The sequence below is a fragment of the Homo sapiens genome, chromosome 2, assembly GCF_000001405.40.
Source record: "Homo sapiens chromosome 2, GRCh38.p14 Primary Assembly".
NCBI classification, from domain to species: domain Eukaryota; kingdom Metazoa; phylum Chordata; class Mammalia; order Primates; family Hominidae; genus Homo; species Homo sapiens.
The window spans coordinates 157,296,036-157,318,614 of record NC_000002.12 but is presented as its reverse complement, the minus strand read 5'-3'; the positions used below and the strand labels follow the sequence as shown (position 1 = coordinate 157,318,614).

General features: G+C 37.2%; 1 protein-coding gene and 1 pseudogene across 5 annotated transcripts in view, besides 1 other annotated feature; one reads left to right on the top strand and one right to left on the bottom strand.

The window, feature by feature from the left end:
- Window positions 1-123: 123 nt before the first annotated feature.
- GALNT5 (polypeptide N-acetylgalactosaminyltransferase 5) overlaps window positions 124-22,579 on the bottom strand; it is a 60,787-nt gene continuing 38,331 nt past the window's right edge. For 2 of the 5 annotated variants that reach the window (NM_001329868.2, NM_014568.3), the window contains 6 exons: window positions 22,102-22,221; window positions 18,950-19,067; window positions 17,616-17,939; window positions 12,786-12,866; window positions 9,887-10,048; window positions 124-7,407 (listed from right to left, as the gene is read on the bottom strand). In NM_001329868.2, the coding sequence (NP_001316797.1) occupies window positions 7,267-7,407; window positions 9,887-10,048; window positions 12,786-12,866; window positions 17,616-17,939; window positions 18,950-19,067; window positions 22,102-22,221 (946 nt within the window). In that variant the 3' untranslated portion in view covers window positions 124-7,266. Of the gene's footprint in view, window positions 7,456-9,886; window positions 10,049-12,785; window positions 12,867-15,127; window positions 16,488-16,952; window positions 17,940-18,949; window positions 19,068-22,101; window positions 22,222-22,579 lie in introns of those variants that run through there. The other 3 variants (XM_017003237.3, XM_047443070.1, XR_007068940.1) reach the window with 2 other exon arrangements.
- Window positions 15,926-16,005: a silencer, noted in NCBI's record as "silent region_12024". NCBI's record gives its function as "represses an Ori minimal core promoter by ATAC-STARR-seq in GM12878 lymphoblastoid cells {active_cell/tissue: GM12878}" and the evidence as "EXISTENCE:reporter gene assay evidence [ECO:0000049][PMID:35858748]".
- RN7SKP281 (RN7SK pseudogene 281) lies at window positions 19,457-19,808 on the top strand (annotated as a pseudogene).

The window sequence follows — 22,579 nt, the reverse complement described above, 5'->3', positions numbered from 1 at the left end:
TATTTCTGGTCTCTAGACTTTATTTTGTTTAGCTGCCTTTTAAACTTTAGAAAGAATCCTTGTATATCAGCAGCTACTATGATAATTAATGAATACCTCTTCAGAAATCAAGAGAACACTTTATTTTAGTTCATTTGCATTATTTATTTCAAAAAGGTCTTAAAATGATTGTATATAAAATTGTAAAAAGGATTTCTGGTAGGTAGATATGTAATATACATGAAAAATTTTTATCATTTTTTAAGGAACTGAGATCATGTTTAAGATGCATCTTAACACGAACAACTTGAAGAAATCTCTGTAATCATCAGAGTAATACATTTAAACTATGCTGACATTTTCATAGCAATCGTTTCTGCATATTTACATGGGATCATACTTTTGGCATATTTTCAAATGGAGAACGGACATTTAAGTTTTTCAATGTGATAGGGAAAACATTTAAAATAAGTAATAATAGAGAATTATGGAGAAGGATAAAGCACCAGAGTATAATAAAGAAGAAATATGTTTGACAGTATGAGAAAGGCAACCACTTCTCTTAAAACTTGAACTTTCATCACTCTAAAAAACAATAGGATTGTAAAATGCAATGTCAAAAACTATATTTACCAATATTAAAGTATCAGACAGAAACATACCACAATGAATATGGGTTTCTGATAACCCCTACAATATTCTACTTAACTTCAAAACTCAGTATTGTTTAAAGACAATGAAAATGTGTATATAGTTCATGAAGAACATGAGATAACTGAGCCAGGCAATCAATACAAACACAATGACATGGGTAGTAGTAAGCAGCTGAACTCACTCAGAACATGGCAAACTACAAAATCAAATGATGATCTCTAGTAGCTAACTGCCAGCACAGGAGAATTTTGGAAATGAATTTAGAAAGTAATTTGGATGTTTACCTAGAATTTAAAGTTACATACTTGATTCCTTCTTTATAATAACTTCAGTCGATCAGATGCAAAAGAAAAAGTACTTAAAAATGTTTAATTCCAACATCCTTTATACTCCACAGTTTTAGTTTTATTCTCCCCTTAGCAAATGTTTTCAGGCAATCTTTAACACAATTCACTTACTTAATCTTTGGCTTCTCTTGTTTTTAAGCTAATATGTATAAAACTAGCAAATTTGGGGTAGTTGTTTGAAGCAGAAGACATGTGTGTAATCTTCAACTAAATAACAAGCACCCTGATAATTAAGAACTTGATTACTCCTTCAAGTTTGGAAAATGGTATCCAGAGTGTAAGTTCACTTGAGATACTTTTGTGCAGAAGGCCAGATGCAGACAAAGCTATACACCTGAAAGAGTTAAAAATATCTAAAAACATTTTATTTTCTTTATGTTGTGAATAGAAACTCTTGATATTTCTTTCTTCCAGATCAAAGCATCAAAAAAAAAAATATATATATATATATATATATATACACACACATACAGTATATTTACAAAAATTGCTATGTTTTTGAGTGGTCACTTAAAAATCTATTCATGCTATGAAAAATTTTAATTTAACATCTAATATAAAGGGTTTATTATATAGATGCTTATGACCAATATCCTTAAACTGGTAAATATCTGTCAATCAATAATAAAACAGAAAGCTCTTGTTTTTGAAAAAAATATTTATTACTTATTTGATGGTGACTCATTATTAGAAACAGCATATTAGAAGTTGCTGTATTTGCTGGAAAATGAGAATTTTCCCTTGTGTTTTGTATGTGTTTTTACAAAGCAAAGATTCACATAAACTTGCAAAGCGACTCTAATTGAAATGATAACTATTGTTCCATTAGGTTGAAAACAGAGGCATTAAATCTGTTTAGTGTGATGTTATTTTTTTCTTTCTTTGAGATACAGACACCACCAACACCTGGAATACTATCCATTAAGCTTCATTAGGGATATATAATACTTTATATGGCTTATTCAAAACTGTCAAAAAATAAATATTTTGTACAATATCTCTGGTTAATTTTTTTTTCTAATTGTAAGGCATTTTGTCTTGTAGCAACTATTGAGTAACCCATGCAAAAGTTGTTGCAAAAGCACAGTAGTGACAACCTACACAATGAGTAGGAATAAAAAGTCATGGTTTGTGTTTTAAAGGACTCCAACTTTTTAACTTTTTATTTCTGTTCAAGATGAGCAATCTGCTAGCTTTGATTAAAGGTTGGAGGGATCAAGGGTTGGTAATATTAATACAGGAGTCATTAAAAATTTATTTTAGGCCATTAGAAAGGGTAAAATAGTTCTCGGTGGATTTTTCCTTTAATAAAAAGCAGCCCCCAAGCCACTTATTTTCTAACAAAAAGCAGCCTGAAAAGTCAAGTTGCAAGTATAGATATGCAAGCTAGAGGCTCCCATATGTAAAGCTAGCAGCTGTACCTGGAAGCCAGGCACATTCAATATGGTGATTCCTGCTCCCTTTTCCTTGTCACCAGGTGTGTGGGTGACATGGCACTGGTGAAGTGAAGCCACGTGTGCAAATGTCATGGTGACAGCCAGGTAGAAGATGCATTTGCATAATAAAAGGTTAGGGTGGGAGGGCCAGTCTTTTCACCGGCTATGTAAGTAGTATACCTGGTTAAACCAATCCCCGGGCCCTATGTATATCAATCACCGCCTCCTCAAGCCTCTGTATGAAATCAATCAAATCTTGCCCCAAACCCAGAAAACCCTCTCTTGAGCAACTGTCTTTCTCAACATGAGGAAGCTTTCTCACTCTCTTCTTTATCTATTAAACTTTCCACTCCTAAACCCACTCCTCATGTGTGTCTGTGTCCTGAATTCTTTCTTGGCATCAGACAATGAACCATGGGTATTTCCCCAGAAAATGGAGCTTTTTCAATATTATTCACAGAGAAAGAATCCTCCACATGTCCACTTCTTTCTTTCACATTTGGTCCAGGAGATGAAAAAGAATAGGTTCTGCATGAAGTCAAAGAGATAGATCACAGCAAAACATGTGGGGGTAGCCATGTTTATACCTACACATCAATTGGTTACCACAGAGAGAGAGAGACCATGCTTCTTTTTTCTGTTTATACAACATCCAAAAGAGGCCAAAGGGGTTTAATTCAATCTCATCTCAATACTGTGGCATCAGTAATCTGAGACCAAGAAACTTTTAAATGCACCCACCTGAGATGACAGCCCTTTGTAAAGAAGAAAATTAATTATATAGCAGCATGGTATAGTGAGAGAAATTTTTTTTGAGCCAGATAAAATGGAAACTGGGTTTTATCTCTTACTTGTGGGATGACCTTGGGCAATTTACCAAATTCCTCATCTGTATGTGGGAGTTATCCTTCTTGTTCATATAACAGGGAGAATGAGAGTCATTTGATGAGTTGTACCCATCAGTGAGATGGGACACATATAGCACCTACACAAATAGTACCTACACACACTCAATGATAATTAGTTCCTTTCTTTTTTCCCATCACCCAATGTCATTTTTTTGTTTTAATCCAAGATTTTGGGGCTTTCTTCTGAGGTAAAAATTATTATTATTATTTTTTGAGATAGAGTCTTGCTCTGTTGTCTAGGCTGGAGTGCAGTGGCGCAATTTCAGCTCACTGCAACCTCCACCTCCCGGGTACAAGCAATTCTCCTGCTTCAGCCTCCCAGGTAGCTGGGATTACAGGCGCCCACCACCATGCCCAGCTAATTTTTGTATTTTTAGTAGAGACGGGGTTTCACCATGTTGCCCAGGCTGGTCTTGAACTCCTGACCTCATGATCCACCCACCTTGGCCTCCTAAAGTGCTAGGATTACAGGTGTGAGCCACTGCGCCTGGTTGGTAAATTTTTTTTCTTGTATTCTGAATATAGGAATTCAATCAGAGATGTTAAAACAAAGAAAGATGGTACTCTCTGGCATGTTTCAATCTTATTCTATTGCATGAGTGCCTGCTAGAAATAATTACAAGCCATTCATGAAATCAAGGTTGGTTGGGAATATTGGACTCCTATATACTGTAAATGGTATCTTTGCCCCTCTGCAGTCCCAAACTAATACTAGAAGTAAGGTGTTTTAATATCTAAAAGAATGTTTCCAAATTAGTGTGGCGAAGCTAATAATACATTGTGATCATGGCACATGGTGGTTTGCTGTGAATGACAGCTGAGGGGATGTCAACAAGCAGTATTAAGCAAATTTGATGCTGGTGATAGAACAAGATTGTACCAACAACAACTGTGTCAGCTTACAAGAGAGTAGGGCAGAAGCGCTGGGTAACTGTTGAAAAGGAGAAAGAAATTGTGCAAACTGAAAAGTCTCAGAAGCACTTAGATGGCTTGGTAAGTTGGTTAGTGCTGTCAAATATTATCAAGACCACCCTTGTATTCAAGGTAACAAGATGCATAGACTTTTTTTTTTTTTTTTTAAAGTAAAGGCAATGACCTAAGCTAATCCAGGGAAAAATCTGTAGCTCCTGTAACACAGCCTCCTATTGAAGAATTCAGTGCTGATTAGGACCTGTCTCATCCAAAGGTTTATCACTAGAATTACCAGAAGACCGAGTAGCATGTATACCTTTATTCTAATCTCCTGAAAAAATTTAGAAGGCTATGCTTAAGAAAATGTTGGTAGTAGATGTAATAATAAATCAATACACTCAAGTTTAGGCCCATATAGATTCCCAACTAGTGATCAGTTCCTTGCTTCTTAGAGTAACTGAGCAAATATATGATGAAAAGCAATGTATAAAATTCTATCCAAGAACAAATTTGTGATGTTCAAAAACAATCCTTTGTTATATTGACAATATAGATTTAAATATAGCTTTATATAATAAGTTTGTCAGGGTAAAGTCAGAAAGGATGTGAACTGAGAGGACTGCAGAAGTTTCTGTTAAGGAAAAAAATCCAACTTCCTTTAGTTGATATACCCAAAGATAAGTGTATTCAAAATGCAATTCATTTTTTTTCAGAACAGAGTTGACTTCTTTGTGGAAACTATTTTCGGATAAAAAGAGAGCCTATATACCCGGGGGAAAAAAACCTCTCAACATTTTTTAGTTACATGAAGAATTACATGAGGCACCTAGCATGTTCAGTTTGTCAGTAACTCAATTAGTCTTTTGACAACTGACTTGCGTCCCCCCATCCCCCTTGCCCCATATGGCTCTGTTTTGAAAAGAATTAGAGTCATGCATCATTTAATAACACAAATACATTCTGAGAAATGTGTCATTAGGCAATTTCATCATTGTGTGAATATCAGAGTGTACTTACACAAACCTAGATGGTGTAGGTAGCCTACTACACACCTAGGCTATATGGAATCCCTGTTGCTCCTAGGTTACAAACTTGTGCATGTTACTGTATTGAACACTGTAGGCTATTGTAACATCATGGTGAGTATTTGTGTGTCTAAACATAGAAAAGCACACTAAAGATACCATATTATTAATATAATCTTTTGGGACCAATGTCAAATATGTGGTTCATTGTTGACTAAAACATCATTATGTGTCATATAACTGTATCTCATTTCCTAGTCATTCTCTTACTCATCTGCAGTTTTCAATTATATGAAGAAAACATCTTAAATATGTTACAAATGTGCAGAAATAGTTCTTTTTCCCATTCTTAGTTATAGTTTTGCTTTTACGTAACTCATTGGGAGTCAAAATTAAATGTTAAACTAGGAGTCAGAATGAAAGATACCTAGTTTCACAATCATCTCAACTGAACAAAAGTTTAAATTTAAAAAAAGAAAAAACATATTAACAAGAATATAGTATGGTTGTCCTCCAGGGACCCAATCCCAGCAAAGAATTGTGTATCTCTTTCTAAGGAATTCTGTGAAGCAGATTTGTTCGGGCCAGTGACCTGAGGCATTAGAATGAGCCCTGTCTCTGGAAACCTGAATTCTAATCTTGATTCTTTGACTAACTTGCCTGGGTTTTAAGATTTTTAGGTAATTTATCCTCTCAGCATCAGTTTTCTTACCAAAATGAATGCAAAGGCTATCCTGATTTCTAAGGTGTCTTCTGGTATGCCAAAGTATTGGTATGCTTAAGATTAGAGGCTTTATTTGGATGAAATCAGTATTTAACTTTTCCCAAATTTGTCAGTGTTCTCACTGGGTTCACACTGAGGGCTTTACTCTTTTTTCCTTCATAGAGATACTAGATCCCCTTCTTTCTTTGGCCAAGTCCAGCGGAATTTTTTCTTAACTCTCTTCCTAAGACTTGTTTACCTCATTCCTTTCCCCTTTCATGATGTTTCCTTCACTTCATTTTCCCTTTGAAATATTTTAGAACCCATTTTTCGCATATTTCATCCCTGTGAATGCTACTATATCTAAAGTAGTATTTTATTATTTTTATATAAAAGAAACTTTCAGCAGCTCTATTTCTGCTTTACTCATTTCAACTCCTCTTACTTGGCCCTGCACTAGAGTGCATTCAATGCTTAAATGCATTTTTGATTACTACAGTGTGTTATAATCCAGCCTTTTTTCATTGCCTTAAAAAAAATCCACATGAATCTAGGAAGTTATTGGTATCATAAATCTTTAAAACTGTAGTTTTAAAAGCACAAAATGAACTGAAATAGTGTTCATACCTAGAATTAAATAAGCATTTGAAGGCCTCTTCTTCCTCACTTAAATTTTTTTCCACTGATTCAGATTGGGAAAAACCATTATGTAATTTAGATCAAAATGCTGCCATCAAGCAGGGTTACCAGCAGTAGATCAATACTATTTCAAACTGTTAGGTAAGCATGCATGTAGTCTGGAGGGATTTCACAAACGTGACAGCTGTGGGCATCTGAGGTCTTCTAGCCATAAGAACTCAAGAAATTTTTGTTTGATGAAAAAATCCCCAAATAAAGGACTAAGTTAAGTTCTCATTGATCATTCCTACTTGTGGGCCAGAAGAGCTGATTATTACCAAACATAGTCATTGGGAATATCCTCATGCTTTCTCAAGTCCTTCTGTCTTCATTTCCAGTTACCTGTTAGCTTTCACAGGGAAATTTGCATGATGAGGTCTAGCATAGGGTGGAAAGCAGGCAATTCAAAGGCCACCCAGTTCCGAAGAAGGACTTCAGTCCAATGTTGGACTGTTTTCCTGAGTCATCTTTTGGTATTCCAAATATTGTGATTTATAAAAAATCTTCCATTCAAATGTTATTAAAATTGAAAATTTAAACTACCGCTGAGAAATATAGTTTCCAAGTTCAGTGTTATTTTCACAGTATTTAATGGGTTTACTATATAAAAACATCAGTTACACTTCAGGCTTCATAATATTTTTCAAATTTCCACTTTTGATATGGCTTCACTGGGTCACAGGCAGCTACTTTCAGGATCTTTTGAGAAAAATTTCCTTCCAAGCATAATAATTGCTGATTGTTTTCAAAAACAATGTGATTCACCTGGAGAGAAAGAAGAGCTGGGAATGAGCCACAGGCTGAATTTGATAACTGCAATATGAAGAAATGAAAATCAATTAAAAAAATGGACAGGCAGTTATATTTTTGATTTTTAAGAATTCTTCTGAACTAAATTATTAACATAAACACAGACTTTGAAAAGTATTAAATTTGTCTCTGTCTCAGACTAAGTAATCATCCTCCACCAAGCTATAAGACTTTTAAGTCCTCAGGAGGCAAAAGAAAAATTTCTTGATGATATGGCTGAGAACTATACTCTTTAAAGAGAAAACATTACAGATGACATTTATTGGATTTGATAGATGATAACTACTTCATTGATGGTAAAGAAAGAATACATACCGTAACAAAAAGTTAATTAATTTTTAAAGTAGGTGTCTTTGTGAGTTTGGATTACAAAATTCTGGAAGTGATGTATTTTATTTATGAGCTCCTTACCATAATCTCTGACAATTCATAATAACTGATGTCCAAAATCCAGATTAGGAAAAAGTCAACAGCATTAAAGAAAGTTATATTATTGCTTAATATTTAGTGAATATCCTAGAAATGGTAGATAAATTAGATAGACCTTACTAATGGCTTATATATTTTTTCATCTATAAATTTTCTTAATTACGTATGACTATGACAAAGACAATCTTAATTACACATGTTGTTTTTAAACTTTAAAAAGTTATCAAACAGGGGTGACTTTCATAATAATTTATTTTAAAGATTGCTGCTACAAAAGTATTGTCACCCTTGCAGGATTTTGGAAATACGATGCTTGAGTATTGTCAAGGATTTGTAAGGAAGTCTCATTTTATACTTCTCTTGTTGTTTAAGACTTACATATAATGGGAGACCTAGTAGCAATAGCATGAAAACTACTGAAAAACTGAAAAAAGAAGAAAGCTGATCACCAAGCTATTCATCTCCAGGACATTTGGTAACATCAAAAGGGAAACCCAAGACAGAAGGCAGCTGTGTAAAATGTTCCAAAGTCATAGGTACAAACAAGGTAGGGAAAAGGCTTTCTAATTTTTGCTATCTTAACTAAATTACCTCCTTTACCAAATCAGCTTACCGCTTAAGAGAAACTGCTATGCTTGAACTCTTTCCCAAGATTCAATTCTGGAGATGAAGAATGTGTTTTAGTTCTCGTTCTTATTCATATTCTCTCTCTCTCACTCTCTCTCTCTCTCCTTACCACATCCCCCCCTTTCTCCTTCCCTCCCTCCTGACTTTGGCACAGGGAGAAGGTAAGATGTAAGTTATTCACTACACTGCATGTTTATGGATTTCCTAACACTATGCAAAATAAAATTAGTGGCATATATGCTAATAATTCCTAATCTTTCTGAATAACTCAATAATAACCATTATTACTAAAGAGAAAAAACTGTTCAGAAAGAATTGAAATACAACAGAGAAGATCTAATGGGAGAAATGTTGGAGAATACATTACTCAGGCCCCAGTTTTGGCTCTGAGCAGGAAGAAAAATGTTGAGAAAAGAATAGTCATTGTGTTGTTAAAAGGAACGGAGGCACCTAAAGGAAGCAAAGGTGCTTACTTTGGGGATAGCCCAGGACAAACTGAGAGTCTCCAAATACCCAAATATTTACTGTAGACAGTAGATTTGGTGGCTACCTGCTGGAGAGATTGTAGAAAATTTAAGAAGGCAATTCTGAGACTATTCTCGCCAATCCCAAGCTCCTACACCAAGGCTTATGACTCCGTATTCTGTTAAAATGTAATTGGGACAAATGGAGAGGACTTTGAGAATGAATACAGTAGACCAGGAATGTTCTGGTAAATGGAACAACTGGACCTTCAGAAAAGTATCCCTGATCCAGTAACATCTTCCAATTTCTGTGGTATAAATACTCCCAATATGGCCAGTTTCCAGCTACCAATGTGGTATGATTAAATGCAAAGCTGGCAAGGGTGTGCACAAGTGGCTCCAGCGAGCTGGTGAGAGTTGGCTCCAGCAGACCCTTAGAAGCCCCGGTTTCTGGGTACCACAGGGGATGGGAAGAGTCTCTTATGGAAAGGGGGCAGAATGAGGAACCAGATTCACTCTAAAGTGCAGGACTTGTAGGAGACATGCTGCTTCCTGTGTTGCCCATATCCTCTCCTTATAAGCATTACTGATGACCAGTGGGGACCAGTTCTAGCCTTTAAGCCTGACTTTCGGTGTTGTTGATTGACTGAAGCAAATGATAGCAATGCAACTAGAAGAACTTGGTGATTTCTATTTAAAATAACTCATTTGAAATAAATTTTGAAAAATAAAAAAAAAAGGACTTGTCAACTTTCGAAAGATATCCATGCATCTCTGTGAATGAACTTTTACATAATCCCATGGTCACAAACACACAAAACTTCTGACTGAGGAAGGTGACAATGAGAATTTTATGTCCTATTTGATCAAAAGTCAAATTTGTGGTAAAGAAGAGGTACCAATCTTTTGCTTACCAGTTCTGGATGAAAGACTGATGTTGATTTATGCAGCCATTTTAGCCCTTTGTTTCTGTTATCACAAGGGTGCAGCCTTACGGCTCCTTTATCAGGGATGGGGGCTATACACCATTCTCCACATTTAATAAGTCTTAACCAGGTGTAATTAAATTGTTGAAGCTGTGGGGGAAATGAATAAAGAGGTCACTTCAGGCAGCAAACACAGGCAGGGGCTTTGTCAAACATTTTTGTTAGCAACAGTTAAGAATATAGGAACTATGATCTGACATTTTATATTCAAGTCCTGGTATTATCATTTGTAATTCTGATAGTATGGGCATATTATTTACCCTGTCTAATCTTATTTTTCTAATTATTTTTAAGTTGGATAGCGATTGTATCTATCTCAGAGGGTTGGGGTAATGACTGTCAAGTGTTTAGCACACAATAAGCCTTCAATAAATGTTAGTTACAATAATAAAAATTATTCAGTGCAATTAATTCTGTCTGCATATGGATGTCATTTCAGTGTTCTGAATCCCGACAAGCCTGGTGCTTAAAGAATTGGAATGTTCAGTCTACCACATGATTAAGGTTCTAAGCCACGGGTGGCTACAGGGAGATACCAGTCATAGCCCTAAATTTCTTGGGTGGAGATTTTATGCTTCCTTGTATAAAACCATCATAAAGGCTTTGTCCGATTGTAGGAAAGGTGGAAGTCCTTCTTTGCTACTAGCATGAGGAATCATCAGGTTGCTACCAGGTTGGCATCCCCCAGTTCATAGAAACTGCTCTTGGAGAAATTGCCAGTGTCTAAAATAAGTACCAATTCAGGTAATGAAACCATGTTTTTAATTCTGAAACATTTTTCTTCAGTTGTTTACAACCTACTATTGTCTACCCGGTCAATTTACTCTAATGCTCTGGGTCTGTGGGAAATTTATCGTTTTGTACTAATATAAACATATTTGAAAAAAATAGGCTTCTGGTAAAATCTATCTAAATGCCTTTACCTAATGAATCATTTGTATTGTAAGTGAAGTTTAACTTTGATTATCAGGTTAGATCAAAGTCATTGTGTTGGACCTTGCCATTGGAAGGGTGGTCCTTGGACCAACATCCGCATCAGCTGGGAGCTACTTAGAAGTGCGGAGTCTCAGCCACATCACCGACCTACTGATTCAGAATCTGCAGTGTAACAAACTCCCCAGGTGATTCACGTGAACATTAACATGTAGGAAGCATGGAAGTATGGCATAATATAAGGAAGTTATGTGCTACTAAGAGAAGCTAGATATTACCTTGAAAAAATACGTTTCAACTGCTTTAAAGGTTAATAACTAAGGAAACTTTTTAGGTAAGGTAAGGGATAGAGCTTGATGATTCAATCTAAGGGTCTTATTCTTTCTGAGCCTTTTTGGATGAATGTTGTAGTCACTGGCTTGGTATTAAGCCTCATTAATTCTGCTGAAAATGAGTTAACTTCCTCCACATTTCTTTACTTTTTATTACCCAAGCAAACCACAAGAGGCAGAAGCTAAAAATGAGCAACAAAGACTAAAAGGGAGCTGGGGCTTTGTGGAAGTCGAAGCCTGCATAATTTATACTTTTGCCTCTCAGCATCCAATTGAGAAAGACTCAATGGTCATCAAGAATAGAATTTGGGTTTTCAGATAAAATGCTGGTTACTCTGGCACAAAAACTCCCTGCTATGATGATTCCTAAAAAAAAAAAAATGCATTATTTAATACTTTCCTTTCATATAATGTGAAATAATTGTGGTTTTGTTTTTACAATTTATGACTTTATTTCCTCTTTGTTAGTAAGTGAAATTTATTTCTTTTAATGAGTTTTAACACTTCTTCACTTCCCTTTGACTCCTTTCTTTCCTAATTAAAAAAGAGTGGCCTTGGCTTCAGGTTTACAATTCACAGCTAAATATAGCAACAGAGATACCTTTTCTTCTAGTAGTAGCTCTGAGTTAAGAGGTAGAGATGGGATGCACCAAAAAATATAAACAGTATCTTGAAGTCAAAGCAAAGATGTAAGACTTAACAAGCCTAGATTACCATTGCAAAATAATCTCTGTACCAAAGAACAATCTGCAATTTTGGGAACTGATTTCTATTCATGAATCCATTTTCCTCTGAGTCCTATTTGCCACTCAAACCAATAACTGTTTCCACAAACACAGAACTGTTAAGGAATGTATGTTAGAGAGGGAAGTGTAATCACTCAGAGCTCACCTCCAGCACTGTGGAAGGAGTCTCTATTCCCTGCTTCCTGGCCCGACTCCCTCTACTAACCATTGCGCTCTGAGTTTGGGGAGTTTTCCTATAGGAGTTTCTACCATGGATCATGGATTTGGTTATTTCCATTACTCCCTTAAAATGCGGGAAAATGAGGGGAAAGAAGAATGGAATCAGACAATAAGACTGCTTCCTTAGAATGATTATTTAGAAATATGTTGTCTCTTTAGTATCTTTATCTATGTTATGCATTTTTTACATTTTTATCTTTATTATTATTACAGCAAACATTTACAGAGCAGTAAGCATTAGGTATTGTTCTACATGCTTCATATGTATTACCTAACTCCAGCCTCACACCAGTTCTAAAAGTAGGCATGATTATCACTACCATTTACCCAAAGGTTAAGGAATCTGCAGACGTTAACACGCTTTTGCAAATGATGGTGCCAGGACTGGATTCATTCTGGACCCAGTGAGTTGACTGCAGGACCCACACCTTTATTCCCTTAGTCACTGTCTTTGTGTTTAGTGGTGGACTCTCTTTTTACAAAGAAATTTAGAAAATTATTTTTCTGTTGGGCAAAGATGAATTTCTCAGTTGAGCAATGAATGTGTCATACCCTGCACCTATCAGCTACCATGAGATAGAAAACAGTTTAGCATACCTCTTTGCTCCCATCGCAGTCTTCCAGAATGACTGTAGTGTTTTCAATGGAAATGCATTTACCCAAAGCCACATTAATAAGCTAAAAAGCAAAATACGAAACAGGAATTACAAAATATTTTAAAGTAAAACAAGACATTCAGACACATTTAGAAAATACAGAATATAAAACTATAATAAGGTTAAAAGTTAATAGCTTAGCATTACTTAGCACTATCCAGTTTTATTGGTTGCTATCTCTAACAGAGACATAATGTAATCTTGTAATAGTACAGCTTCAATCTGTTAATTTTGGCCTGTGATCAGCCATAGAGCCAACACACAGAAGCTTTTAATTAACCCTTGCCTGGAATGCTAAATAACAAATGAGCAAAGGTGGCAAGAAAAGTAATTATTTTCTTGTCTTAAGTTTATCTAATGCATATACTAAAAGTCAATGCACCTATAAGAGTTATGAGCTATGTTCCCTGACTGACCCCTTCAAGCCTTTTGACTGCTTAAGCACTGAATCATAGATAAATTGAGTCCTTCAAAGAACAGCAGATTCCAGCTGATTCCCTGTCAGAATCTTCTTAATGACCCAAGCAAGCTACAATTCATTATAGGAAAGTCACGAAAGCTAATACAGAGCCAAGCATAAAGGCACTTTCTGGCAGGCCCCCAGGTTTTTAATGGATTTACAGGGTCAAATATGGAGGTAGCTTTCTTTAAGTCACCATTTAATGCAGAAAAATGTTGATTTCCTTTCCCCCTTTGACATCCTGGGCAGGGCTAACAAGATGATGGGTTAACAGTGCAACTTAGGGTTTTCAGATTTCTCGAACAGCTGTGCAGAGCCGAATCTATAGGACATGTCCTGGGAAAGCCTCCTGAGCTGGGAGGAGCTGAAGTCTTTGTTGCCAGGGACACTATTTGTGTCCTTCCTGTTCTATGATGCCTAACAAAGAGCTCTAACTCAGGGTGCTGCACTGATGCAGACTGGATGCTCACAGAATTGCCAGACTTCATAAAAGGGGGCTCAGTACATTGGTCCTCAATTTTACATGCTTAGCTTAGTGAACAAGAAAGTAAGGGACATCTTCAGGGATCAGAATATGCGGAAAAAATTAAAGGCTACAGGGAAACTTGCAAAGGTTGGCAAGAAAGACTTGTTCCCTCATATGGATGGAAGAAAAACAGAGGTATGTGTAAACCAAAAATCTGGAATTCAGGTCTTCCACATAACAGCGGAAAAACAGATCTTCAGTTGAATGCTGCACTGGGAAAAACAATTTGCCCATTAGCAAAGGGAGAAAACAAGGAAGCTGGATTGTCCCTGAGAATCTGAAACTTTACACCAGGCTTCATTTGGATTTGAGATGAATATTTACACCACCTGCCTTGGATAGGAACCATCACAGACTTTCAAGGCATAGAAACAAACATTAAAAATAGTACCAGGTTGTTAATTACTTCTGAGGTGCCTGGCACAGGCAGAAACAAAGCAACTATGGAAGGATGGAATCTCTATCAAAAATCCTCAGAGAAAGCTCTATTAGCAATTTAAAATGACAAATATGGGAGGAGACAGCTCACTGTTAGTAAATGTGGGCATCACAAGGCACAGAAGGATTCAATGCCCCCACAGTCCCACCCCTGAACTTCAGAGAGGAAGGTGAATAGAAAGACATGAAGGTAGAATAATCTCGGGGCTTAAAGGAAGGAAAGCATGCTGCAATTGCTCTCTGTACTGAAGCAGAGATAAATATTATGTAAGCTCCTGTATTTGTGGATCATGCAGAAATATTCTATCTTCAAACAAATTTGGAAAATTCTGGTTTCCACAGAGCCGAACAGGTGGTTCTACTCCAGAACTTCTCAAAATCTTCAGGGTGTTAATGTTCAGCTTGCTGTCAGAATGTTGTACAAATGTTTCTCAAATGTGCTTGACCATGGAACCCTGAGACAGCACAAGTAACATTGGTCAGGACAGTGTTTGGGAACCCCCTGTTTAACTATTTGTGTCTATTTTGTATAATCCTTCCAAGAACCGAAAAGCATTGGAAGGAAAGATAAAACTTTTCTGTCCCTTACATGTCCCTCCCTCATTTGACCTGAAGATTTTTTTTTCCTTTTTCTTAGAAATTACTGAGGAAACTATTTAATTGAGGTTTTTGCCATGGAAGGTACTTTTACACCAACCTAATACTTTTCTTCATATAGACATCATCTCTGAAGTGTTTTGGAATTGTTATTCTTCATTTCATTATTAGTTGTTTTCAGAATTTTCCTTTTTATTTAAAAATAATTGATCCATGTTTTTACTGTAAACCATTTTAATCTTTAAAAAAAATAGGCAGTGTATGAATTTTAAATTATCCATGTTGTATTATTTCATTTTCCAATTTAGGAAGTAGACATTCCGCACAATTTATGACAGAATTGTTAAACATTAGGCTATTTGCCAGCGGTTTAATCCAGTGTAAAAATACATTATTGGTGAGATTCTTTCATTAGCTTCAAATGTTGTCGTTTCAATAAGAAAATATTTCTTCTTATTACAAAAAACCAAAACTTTCACTGGATTTAAATTTCTGCTTGTGGAGGTTGAAAAAAGGGAAACGGAGCTATAGACTGTTTGCCAGCAGTTTAATCCAGTGAAAAATACATTATTGGTGAGATTATTAGCTTCAAATATTGTTGGTTCGATAAGAAAATGTTTGTTCTTATTACAAAACACAAAACTTTCACTGGATCTAAATTCCGTAGTGGAGGTTGAAAGAAGGGAAACGAAGCAAGTAACAAAAAGAAGTTGTGGAGTTTATTTTCTTGGAACTTTCCACGATTGTCTATCTAAAATAATGATCTACTTAATTTGTTGTAAATTACCTGGAGAAAGGTCCTAATTTTTTAAAAATGTTAATAACGCTCCCTGCTGGTTTGCTTCAGAAGGGAGCAAACTACATCTTCACTGAAATTTGTTTAAGGAAGACAACAAAGGAAAATAGAAGGAATTTGTTAAAATCACTTTTTAAAATACTTGGTGCATTTTGATATAGTATAGCGGAGGCATCAGCAGAAGGCTGTTTCATTAGGAGAGCTCTCCAGAAATTTCATAGGAACTCACTCAGGTTAGCGCAACAGCGGAGCCCAAAGGTAGTTTTCTAGTGCCCTCTGGTGGTTAAAGCTTATTATTACTCTGACTGAGATTCTGCGTTGCTGGAATGGGAAATATTAGAATAGTGGAAATTCCTTTCTTTTTTTTTTTTCTGCTCAGCGGTTGAAATTAAAAATTGTAAATTTATTTTACAGTTATATTTGACATGTTGTTATTTGAACAGTGTATATAAATCCAAAATGTCTGATAAGTTACCAGGTTGAGCCACTTAAAGTAGCTGCCATTCTATTTGGACCCATAAAAATGGCAATTTTATAATACAGTGCGTTATCTAAAAACAGGTCACATAAACTTATTTATCAGTTGAATTTTGTAAAAAACAGAACCATTTTTTTAAGACTAGTTTCTTGTCTTTCATAGCTTTCCTGGATTTCCCGAATACTTTCAAGGGGGAATATTATAGTAAGTTTTTGCTATCAGGAGATTTTCCAGACAGAAAGCATGGTATAATCCACTCTCAAGAAGAACTGAAAAAATTTGGCCTAAAAGGGCGGGATAACTAATGGTCACATTTTTAAAGAATTTCTTGGATGAAGAAAAAGGAAGCTGAAATAAAACAAAAACACTGGGGTTAGTTATAAGTCAAATTAAATTAGAAATAAAAGATTAGAAATAAGCATGACTGTCTAAGAACCCCAGCTGAAGGCTTGACTAATCATATCTAAACCCACGTGTCTTACCATCCTCTTCAAATGCAGCTTCACTCCTAGAAGGGGTTTGAAATGGCTTTTCCCCAGCTTCTCCTCTTTCTTGATGTTTTCTCAGCCTTGTACTCTGGCTACCTTATCTGGCTTAGCTTCTTCCCTTTGGATACCATCCTTCATGCCCTGGAATGTTATCTGCTATTCTCTGATATTTTCTGTTATTTTAAGTTCCTCTTTGAAATCTTTACAAACCCCAATTAAATCTTATCACCCCCTTGCTTAACTCTGCTCAATAACTTCCCACTGCTTTCAGAAGAAAGAAGGAAGCAAGGCAGGAAAGAAGGAAGGAAAGAAATAAAATCCTTACTTTGCTTACAAGGACCTGTGTGATCTGGCTCCTTCCTTCCTCTTCACCTTCATCTGGTGCCATTCTTCCCTCCTTCACACCCTGACAACATTCGTCTTCTTTCCAGTGCTTGGATGGAGAACACTCACCTGTCTTAGGGCTTTACGTGACCTTTACCCTCTGCCTAGCACTCTTCTTTAGAGCTTGGCTGACTGACACTTAGTGTTTTAGGCCTGAGTTACAAAGTCTCCTTCTCAGAGAGGATTTCTCAGCCACTCTAACTGAGGAGTCATCAACTGTGGCCTGTTCCCTAAATGAGAGCTATTATATTTTGTATTTACACTTGACTTGCTTATTTGTTTATAATCTTTCTTCTCTACCCAAATTAAGCTCCACAAGGAAGGAACCAAGTCTACTTCATTCATCACCCTGTAATCCAAGTCTGAAATACTCCCAGATCTACGGATACTCAATAGATATCTGTTGAGTTAATCAATGAACATGACCACTTGGTAGCCTTCCTCAAGTTTACCTATATTTAATTCTCAGCCATGCTTTGTCCCATCTTTGCTCATACTTGGTGTTTATTTATAATGTAATTACTCATTCTTTCCACACATTTTTGAAAGAGATTTTGTGTTTTGTTTTTATGGAGTAAGATTTTAAATTGCCACTTGAACTTACCACACCACTAGCTCTCACAATGGGAGCCCTTAAGTCAGGAAAGACATTCTCCAAGTACCATTTGAAACTTTTGCACTTCAGTTTCTTTCGCAGCTCCCTTTGCTGGGTGAGGTTGCCAACATCTAGCCCTTGGTCGATGAGGTGGTCTCCGTGGCCATAGAACAGCTCCTTATACTCATCCAGCCAGACCTCGGCAACCCGCACCAAGTTCCGCTCCACTGTCTTCATCCGGTCTTTGGGGAAGGAATATGGATTGTCATTTCTGAATATATGGCCCACTCGGGAGCAGGGAATGATCTCAATTTCACCACCACACATCCACACCTGGAAGAATTTGATGATAAGCATCAATTATCAAATGATTATCCACAAATCATCGGCACTTAACAATGACAAGAAACCACCTTGTTTCCCCCTACCTGAAGTAATACTCAACTTCAAAAACACTTTTGCAATAGAAAATCAAACTCAACAGGCTTATTTAATTTTGTGTATTGCTGTGGATCATTTTAGGATTAGTAAAATGTAATTTTTTCTTTCCTAACTTTCAATGTAAGTTTTTTTTAATTTGTAAATAAATCTTCACAGAATCCCATTTTGTAAAACATGAGTTCTTGTTTTGATTGAATCAGGGAAAGAAGTATAGATGTCCATTTGTTCACGTTCCTCTACTCTCATTTTTGGGAAGAACCAAAAGGCTTGTGGAACACAACTCAAAACCATCCTTCATGATCAGCAGCTCCAAAATTACACCCTTTTACATACATACAGAACACCCACCCAATAGGAAAGCAATTACTTTTTGGACACTCTCTACTACTGCTGTTGCCAAGGCTTTCTCAGAAGTTAATCAATGATTGTATAATAGATTGTATAAAGTGCCCAAAGGAGCTGTACTATAAGGCACACCTGACCTGTTGGTGACCTGCTTTAGAGGTATTTTAATGTACTTCTGTCATTTGTGTTCTCTAAGATGATCCATTACAGATTGAGTCTATTCCTTCCAACATTCTAGACAGATGTTCCAGGAGAGTTATTTTGTAGCACGTATGACTCCCACAGCATTTACTCTGAGTGGCAGAAAGTCATTTCCCCCATATTTATAAGCAGAAATGGTGTTGTGAAATATTAGGGAATGCTAATAAATTTTATGACAGCAATTGATTCTTCCAAATTCAATCTGAGATATGAAAAAATTAATCCAGAGACCCTAAAATTTCTGTGAAATTTCCTCTCAGTGGCAGTCACATACCTGATTATGGTAGTAAAATCAAACCATTTAAAATTGATTAACTCATTATCGTAAAGAAAAGTTGGGAAACACCTGGTAATACCTTGAATGAGAGCTCCATATTTTCCCCACCCCAAACATCAAGGCCAGGGTCGTATGTTCCAAGTTCAAAAAAGTAACTTTTGTCAATAGAAAACAATCCACCAGCCATGACAGGGCACCTACAAAAAGAAAAGTTTGTTTTTTAAACTTGCATCTCATGAAAGCTCGACTTTTAGAGTTGTTCCTCTGTACATCTGTACGGGAGGTAGGAGGCTTTTCAGAATAGCTACCTGATGCAGGGAAGCCCTGGGATGGAGTCACAAATAGGGCTTAAGTGATGCGATCCCTGGATCATGGTGGCAGAGCTAGATTAGGTTCAGCAAAGATGCATCCTGGAACTAGTATTATTTGTCCTTTATACTGTGACACAAACTGTCCAGGAATGTTATTTTTAACACTTATTCAGGGCTAAGGGAGTATCAGGCACTATTGTAAGTATTATATATATATTCCAGCCCAGACTTCACAAAAAATCTTGTGTGTGCAATTATTAAGAATCTGCAACACTGGATGTGAGGGCGATCTGGCTGCAACATCTGTCAGCCCATTGATTGCCAGGGTTGATTCGGCTGATCTAGCTGGCTAGGCGGCTGTCTCCTTCCCCCCTCACCGCTCCATGTGCGTCCCTCCCGAAAGCTGCGCGCTCTGTGGAAGAGGACGACCATCCCTGATAGAGGAGGGCCGGTCTTCCGGTCTTCTGGTCTTCCGGTCTTCCGGTCTTCCGGTCTTCCGTCAAGGGTATATGAGTAGCTGCGCTCTCTACTAGAACCTCCAAGCAAGCGCTCAGGAATTGGCAACACGGAGAAGGTAAGAAACTTTCCCAAGGACAGTAGACACCTTGGGTTTGCTCTGGGCAGTCTGAGGGGACGCTGTGCCACTCACTCCACTGTACTGCCTCTCAGCCGTTACTGGAAGGAAGGCCGTGAGAGTGAGTTGTCCAGGTTCTGGGTATTTTGAACAAAGAGTTGAACAAAACACACTAACAAAGGAACGAAACACATGAACGAAGCGGCACAAGCAGGGATTCGTTAAAGCGGGAAAGCGCTCCACAGGGTGGGAGTGGGCCGGAGCAAACGGTTCAAGGGCCGGGTTACCAAGTTTTCTGGGTTTCAAGTACTCCTTTCGAGGTCCCTACCAGCTGCCCCTTATCTGGATGGAGGATTTGGTTGGCTAATGAAAGGCTGCGGTGAATTGGCGCCCTGTGCAGATGAAGGGAAGGTCCCTGCTTGGCCAGTCCAAGGCAGAGACTCTCCCTTTCCTTCTGAGATGTGGTGGAAGGGGAGGGCTGTAGGGAGAGTAGCCGTTGATCCTTTGTTACTCGGGTGTGGGGAAATGGGGTTTTCCTTCTGGTTTAGCTTTAGGAAGTGGGTGTTAATCGGCCTTAGATCCCCTGCCCCTAGACCCAGGTGTTTTCCTTTTGATCCAGGTTTGGGAAGTCAGCAGGAATTGGCCTTAGATTCCCTGCCCCCAGACCTTGGTGTTTTTCCTTGATTCAGCTTTAGGAAGTCGGCATGAATTGGCCTTAAGCTTCTTGCCTCCAGACCCTATTCTCCTGCCTCACAACCACACACAAACTTTACTGACAGCGTGTTATATGGCAAGCACCTTTCAAAGCACTTTATATGTTATCTGATTCAGTTCTTAAAACAATCGAAGTAGCAGCTACTTTTATGAGTCTTTATGTAAAAATAAAAAAACAGAGGCTCAAGATGATAAGTAACCTTTTCAAGCTCATACCACTTCTCAGTGGTACAGTTGAGATTCAAACTGTCTCCAGAACCTTCACTAATAATATTGATCATGGAGGATAGAAACTACATTTTAGTCAGCAGTTAGCCAAGACTGGAATCACTTCCTATGGTGGTCACCACTCAGCCAGCTAAAGTAGTTTCTGTGGAGAGCCTGCTTTGTGCTTAGGGTATACAGTGATCTCAAGGGGGAGATAATTCCTGTCCCACACCTCTCTCCCCTCCGCCACCATTTATGTTCATTTTCTTTCTGCTCTCCAATTTTCCTACTAGACTATCCAGAACGCATTCTCGTCCTAACATTATGTTGAATATAGTCTGAACTCAACCACTACATTGGCCCTCAACATGAGAGTATGGAAAGAGCAGAGGTTCTTTAGGTGTAGGTTCAGAATAAGAGTGTTAAATCCAGGTAATTCTGGGTTTGAGTCTCAAATTCTTCTTTGATTAGCTGCGTATTCCTGGGAAAATTACTTAATGCTTTTAAGTCTAAATTTCCCCATCTCTTTAAGGTGAATTCTTCCACCTCCCTCCTAGAGTTAGGAAGAGAGTTAGGTGCCTGGCACAGAGTGCTCAATAAATGGTAGAACCTTCACTTCTTTGCTTGGTGGAATAATTCTGAAGGCATCACACCTGGCAAGGAAGGCGGGTATGACTGATTGAGGGGTAAGTTTGGGGAAAACACGCTTCGGTGCACGGTCTGGGCTTGGCTTTCTGTTGGGGCTGGCTTACTTGTGTCTGTTTAAGTGGTCACTACAACAGGGAAAGTTTAAGCCCCCTGCAGCTCTTCCTGTGGCTGGCTTAATGCTTGTGCTGCAGGCTTATATTCTGAAGAAGTAATAGGAAGCCTCCACTTCAGCTTCAAGTCTAAGCTGTGTTCTTCAATGCAGTTTCTTGGAAATAAAAGCCCAAACTTGAATTCATATCCAGCTTCTGAATCAATTTTTAAATTTATTCATAGAATTTGGCACTTTTCTCATGGAGGGGGTAGGATTAGGCTGTAAAAGAAAATCCTAACCATTGCTATCATTAGAATGATATTTCTATTACCATTATTTACTTTTAATTTGCACTTATGTTTACTTTAATATTACATGTGTTTGTATAGTATGTATGCAGCACATTTTGCTAGTTTGTGTTTCTTAGGTTGCAAATCCTAGGGGACAGGATAGCATTAGTGAATTTTTCTGTGTTCAGGCCTGAGTAGGGTACAAATGACCAGTGAAGAATGAGTTTTGGGAACGAATTTCTCAAGAACACTGTGTTTGCTTTGGTAATCTATTGGCTAGAACTGTGATTCTTAATGTTCTATAGAATAACAAGATACAGCTGTTTTGTAGAATTTTTTAATGCTTTTACAAAAAGATACATGACTGCTTTCTAGTCTTAAATTTCCCACACTTACCTTATTGTATCAGTTTCTTTAATTCTGTTTTTTGCAATGACATCTGGAGGAATTGTTCTCCAACCAAAGTTCATGGGCCACACAAAGATGCCTCTTTGAAAGTTATCCACTGTCATGTAACTAATCCAGGAAATGAAAAACAAAGTGTTATCTGGGATTATATACATCTTTATATACTTTATCGATTTGGCTTCACGATGTAATCAAATGAATGAAACAAGTGCTTTTGATGAGTTTAGATCACCACCTTTTAATAATAGTTCAAGAATGTTTACAAGTACAATTTGCATTAGTAACTGATTGGCTTATTTGTGCTTAACTTATACTTTTATAATAACAATATGCTAGCCAGTTTTGAAGAAAAAAAATACAAGAGCAACTTAAAAGCACATATACGCTTCCCACAGAAATAAGAACTAAATTTGAGGTAAATAAATATTTGGGGTTCAGCTAAATATAAAGGGGAAAAACTAGGTCA